The sequence below is a fragment of the Homo sapiens genome, chromosome 12 (assembly GCF_000001405.40).
Source record: "Homo sapiens chromosome 12, GRCh38.p14 Primary Assembly".
In the NCBI taxonomy this organism is placed as follows: Eukaryota; Metazoa; Chordata; class Mammalia; order Primates; family Hominidae; genus Homo; species Homo sapiens.
The window spans coordinates 19,517,219-19,523,218 of NC_000012.12; the positions used below are offsets into that span (position 1 = coordinate 19,517,219).

General features: G+C 32.5%; 1 protein-coding gene across 7 annotated transcripts in view; it reads left to right on the plus strand.

The window, feature by feature from the left end:
• The window catches only part of AEBP2 (AE binding protein 2), a 118,156-nt gene extending 113,147 nt beyond the window's left edge, over positions 1 to 5,009 (plus strand). For 6 of the 7 annotated variants that reach the window (XM_047428299.1, XM_017018806.2, NM_001114176.2 and 3 more), the window contains 2 exons: positions 869 to 895; positions 1,457 to 5,009. In XM_047428299.1, the coding sequence (XP_047284255.1) occupies positions 869 to 895; positions 1,457 to 1,502 (73 nt within the window). In that variant the 3' untranslated portion in view covers positions 1,503 to 5,009. Of the gene's footprint in view, positions 1 to 868 lie in introns of all 7 variants that reach the window. The other variant, NM_153207.5, reaches the window with a different exon arrangement.
• Positions 5,010 to 6,000: the final 991 nt, after the last annotated feature.

Below are 6,000 nucleotides of genomic sequence, written 5' to 3' on the forward strand. Positions count from 1 at the left end.
GAAAAACAATTATTCTTACTTGTTTTTAGGAGAAATAACTTCCTGCTTGTGCACATGTCAAAATGAAAGTATGGCAAACCTTCTGCAAAATAGATATATTCCTTCAAAATGAGTCTAACAGGAATATACAGTTGGTCCTGTGTATCCACAACTTCCACATCCATGAATTCAACCAACTGCATATCAAAGCTATTTAGGGGAAAAAGATAACAATACAACAATACAAAATAATACAAATAAGACCAATATAGTGTAACAATGATTTACATAGCATTTATATTATATTGTTATAAGTAATCTTGAGGTGATTTAAAGTATACAGAAGGATGTATGTAGGTTATTTGCAAATACTGCTGTTTCCTTGGATTTTGGAATCTGCAGGGGATTCTGGGGACCCCCCACTCCCACTGTGCATGCCGAGAGACAACTGTATTTATTTGGGATTTAAGCACTGGGGTTTGTTGTTTTTGAGACCACTTCTCTCTCTGTTTCTAGGCTCATCTTGAACTCCTGGGCTCAAGCAGTCTTTCTGCCTTGGCTTCCCAATGTGCTGGGAAGATTACAGGCATGAGCCTCTGGGACCCAGCCAAGCATCAGTTTTAAAGTATTAGTTGGCTAAAATATATGTATTACACATGGAATTCTTTCTTAGAAATGCACTAGCAGGCTACATTTAAAACTTTTATTAAACAACTATATTATGTAACTAAGTATAGATCCATATGTATAAATGTTTTGGAAATACATTTTTATTATAATCTATGATCATCACATTGCCTGTATCTTATTAATATTTTTAATGTCTCTTGAAGCACTCAAATGTGTTTGATTCAGTTGAATAAAAGGATTTCTTTTTCTCTTTTTCTAGAACAATGCCGCAGAAGAGGTTGAAGAGGTAAAAAATAAATAAATACATAAAAAGCAAACAAGCGGGGACACCTGCAGTCTTAGTCACTGACAATGGGTTTAGGGAAAGTTGCACATTAGAGTCAACCCCTTCTTTTTTTTTTTTTTTTTTTTAAATCCAGTATTTAGGATAATATTTATGCTTAGTGTAAACATTCTGTGAATGAAGTAGACTCTTCGGTGGAATATATTAATATATTACTGTATATCCACATTTTCATGGAATGGTACTGTGGGAGACTGAGCAAACACTCTTTTGGCAACTTAGTAGAACAGCTTCTTAAAGGCTTTGCATGCTTGCTGCTTTAAGCTGCTTTTTTTTTTCTTTTCTTCCCTTTAGTGATTTCAGTAGTTTATATTGGAAAGAAAAACAATTACAACATGTGCCCTTACAAATACCAAAAGCACTGTAAGGATATTTGTCTTGACAGTGTTTATTGATTTGAAGTCATATTAGGAAATATTTAGACAATGAAAATTATCAAGAGATAATTTACCTTTCAATTATGATAAATAGATGTGATTGGTTGCCATTTGTGTTCTTTTGCAGAACTCTGATAAGAAAAGTGTTCAATTTGTATTTAAGCAAACAGTGAACGACGTTTGCAATCAACTAAAAATTCGTCTATCGAATTAGGGCTGAAAATTACTGTTAAAGAGTGTTGCAGTATGTCTGGTGGCTCCCTTTTCAGGACTAGGGCTTTCTCATGGAGTACAGTATGTTAATATTTACCTATATAACTAATCTGTTAACGGTTTTTGAAAAACCTTTCAAATTATTTGAATAATCTTCATATTTTCATTTAACCTATATGACTCTAATTTTTTTTCTGAGGAAATCATTTGGTTTTTGAGTTGTTTTTTCTTAATGTAAGAAAAATTGTATTTTTTTTACAAGTATCTTCAAACTGAATCTTTTATGCACCAAAGTTGGTCTTGAAAAGGAAAATAAAATCACTTTCTTGCTTGGTAAGCAAGAAGCCATATCGATTTTTTTTAACTTACAGAAATGGAAATATGTGTAACTTGTTAGTATTGTATTAAACAAATGTTGCATAGAGATAATAGAACATTGCTTGTAAATAATTCAGCAGATTTGTAATATATTTTTATATTTTGAAATGTACTGTAGATGTTTTCTAGAGGCATGAAAGTTAAATGTATATATTATGGTAGAAATAATATTGAAGGATATTGTACTTCACTAGTGCTGCCAGAGGAATTGTTAATAAAAGCACCTTCTTTAACAATAAATGTCTTTCACAGACTTAAGGGACTATGTACTACTGTTAATATCTCTAAGAACAAAACACATTGAACATCCTTCCAGAAAGTCTTTGAGGGAGGACCTATACCCATAATAGAATTATGGCACTCATTTCTGACAGTGATCAAGAAATCAGTTATTTCCTTACTGTTGGAAGGACATTGTAAAGTATGTGGTTATATGCAGTGAAACTGCAGAAAATACTCCTGGTTGAGGAGTTTTCACTTTACTACAGTGATATAAAAACCAGCAGTTTTTACACTAAATTTTTTAAAGAAATATTAGACAAAAATATAGAATTAAAACCTTTGGTTCCAAAATGGGAAAGGTTCCACGATACATAAATCATTTCTCATTTGCTTTAAAAAATTTAAAAGTGTAAAAATTATGAGAGACTTTATTCGTTAACAATGGGGGTAAAGAGCTATATACATGAAAATGAGTCTTATAAAATTAAGTGAAGTGCAAATAAAAGCACTGCTACTATAAGACATTCTGGAATGGTTGTTTAATAAGGGTATTATCCATTTGATCTATAGCAATGTGATTTTATTTTTAAAAAGAAAAGCAGTGTGTTTTCTTTTTTTGTTGTTTTCTTTTGCTTAAGCACTTCATCAATTGCTTTATTCTGTATCTGCGAAGTAATCTGCAATCTCTTTTGTTCTTTTTAAAATTTGATTTGTTATAAAATTGCCAAATAGAAGTGTTTCAGATACATAGTTTGTACCTGTATTTTTATTTTATTGCCTCATGTTCTTGTAAGTCATTCTTAATTGACCAATGATTGTAGACCTTGCTTGAGTATTTTTTCTAATAAAACAAAGCAAATCACATTTAGCTTCAAATTGTAACAATTCAATTGAATTTTAAAATGACACCTGAAAAGATACATCTGATATTTTCTATATAGAGCACAGTAAATAAGTTTTTTCATTGTGTAGAAATACTTAGATGTCAAAACCAGATTTCGTGATCCTTGATTAACTTCTGAGTACTCAATCAATCATAATCCTTTTGCTGCTTATCTGATGTTGGTTTGATACTGTTAACACACCAAAAAGAATATGGAATTGAAATGAGCTAGCTTTATAACTTGTATGTATACATATATACACATAACATCCAATTATGACTGGGTAATAAGTGTGAAAATTTTAATTTGTGGTTTTCATTTATTAATGTCTGCCCATCTGTATTGTTGCTCCTACCTTCAAATATGACACCTGAAATAATAAGTCTGTTGTCCAGAATTTATGTATTGTTCAGCATCAAGCAAACTACAGCTCACAAGCATACCCATTTATATGTTGTCTATGCCTGCTTTCTCCTGCAGTGGCAGAATTGAGTGGTGAGACCTTAGGTCCTGCAAGCCCCCAATTTTTACTACAGGTTGGCAATCCCTAATCCAAAAATCTGACATAAAAAATGCTCCAAAGTTCAAAACTTTCTGAGTGCTGACATCATGCTGCAAGTGGAAAATTCCACGCCTGACCTCATGTGACTGGTCATAGTCAAAACAATTAAGACTTTGTTTCATGCACAAAATTATTAAAACTGTTGTATAAAATTACCTTCAGTCTATGTGTATAAGGTGTTTGTGAGATATAAATGAACTTTATGTTTAGTCTTGGATCGCATTTCTGAGTCTCATTATGTATATGCAGATACTCAAAAATCTGAAAAAAATCAAAAATCTGAAATACTTCTGGTCCCAAGCATTTCGGATAAGGGATACTCAGCCTGTCTCTGGTCCTTTAAGAAAAAGTTTTCGATTCCTTTGTCTAGTTGACAAAAAGTTTGGAAACATAAACTTAGACCACACAACTTGCATTTTAATATGACAATGTTGATCTTGGTAATAAGCCAGTACATTAAATTTTAGTGAAAGCTGTTTCATGTATTTTACAGTAAATACTGCCATATTAGGTACCTACAACAAATGGTGGTTTTTGGAAACTTTTACGGTGGGTTTTTAAAGTTATTAATAGTCCATCATTTCATCATTTGTGTTTCTGTATTTATTTTGCTAAGAACTAAATAAGATTTTGTACATCAGATTGTGTTTGAACCGTAAGGCACATCTGCTTTATCTAAAAGAATCTTAAGGTGGAAATAGTGTAAAATTTAAAATTTTTTATATTTCTAATAAACTTTTTATATATAAATGTTACCTAAAGTGGACACATGTTACTTCTGAATTTCACATGAAAGGAAATTAAAGATGGACAATAATTATCTCTCAATATTTTAAGATTTGTTTTACTAATTGAAAACAGTATGTCAGTAAATCTTTGGCCTTAGTGCTTTTTTCCCCCTTTTACACATTAATAAAATGTTTTAAATATGGTAATACTCTTAAAACGGTAGAATTTGCCACAGTTGTTTAAAGCATTTTTATTTTTTCTTTGAATTCTTAATTCATGGTGAACAGATGTTGGGTTCTTAAAATATAAAAATGAGAAAATATGTATTAAAAATACTTGATAGAGGGTTTTCTCTTTAATCACAACTTAAAAAAAGAAACCTTTAATACCTCTGCATAAGTTCTCTGAAAGAACTTAAATTCTTAGTTTATATGAAAACTGATATGTATGTCTGTGTAACAAAGCCTGTTGGGTACAGGTCTACAAGGAGATACTTTGTTTCTAAAAAAGGAGTTAAATCGTGTCACCTGAATTTTTTTTTTTTGAGATAAGTGGACATTTTGGGGATTTTGGTTAAAACATATTTCTCTATTCTAAAAATTACAGAATATGTATTCATAAAAGGGAAGAAATTGTTAGAAAATTTCCTGTGTACGTAGTTTGTTTTTAAATTAAAGAATCTTGTGACCTGGTGTAGGACATTTTGCATTTGTAACACTGCAGTTTTAATATATTTGCTGTTTTTTTTAAAATTAGAATATGTTTAAAATTTAATGGTTATGAGGCTCTGTAGCCTTAAAATGTTTTATAGTAGTAAAATGTATTATTTTCATCTTAAAAAAAACTAAATATTTACATTGCATAATTTATTTATTGAATCAAGTTTACGTGGTCTAACACATGGTTCTGTTAATCTGAAAATTGAAAAGGATTTGTAAGCAGGTTAGAGCAGGAATTGCAACCCAGATTTTTTTTTTTCTAGGTCAGAATTCTTTTCACTATACCAAACTGCTGCTCACAGTGTGAGAACATGAATGTACATTGTGATACCACTATAAAGTTGTGTCCAGTGTTTCTGCCACAGCCAGTCTAGCATGATCATTCATGGCACAAAATAGTCTGTAAAATTTGTTAAATGAGTATTATAGGTGAGTAATTTTTACAGTAAAATACTTTGGAGAATTAACAGTGATAAAACAGTAGTAGGGTTGAAGTGACCTGGCTTAAGCCACATTCTGTGATAGTGTCAGGTACCTTTTCATAAGAACCTTATATACGGATATAGTGGTTCATGCTTGTAATCCCAACTACTTGGGAGGGTAAGAAGGGAGGATTGCTTGAGGCCAAGAGTTCCAGGCTACAGTGAGCTATGATTGGACCACTGCATTCCAGTCTGGGTGACACAGCGAGACCCCACCTCTTTATTTTTCGCTACGGAGTCTTGCTCTCTTGCTGAGGCTGAAGTGCAGTGGTGTGATCTCAGCTCACTGCACCCTCTGCTTCCGGCTTCAAGTGGTTCTTGTGGCTCAGCCTCCCACGTAGCTGGGACTACAGGTGCGTGCCACCATGCCCAGCTAATTTTTGTATTTTTTAGTAGGGACGGGGTTTTGCCATGTTGGCCAGCCTGGGCTTGAAATCCTTACCGCAGGTGATTCTCCCACCTCTGCCTCCCAAAGTGCTGGC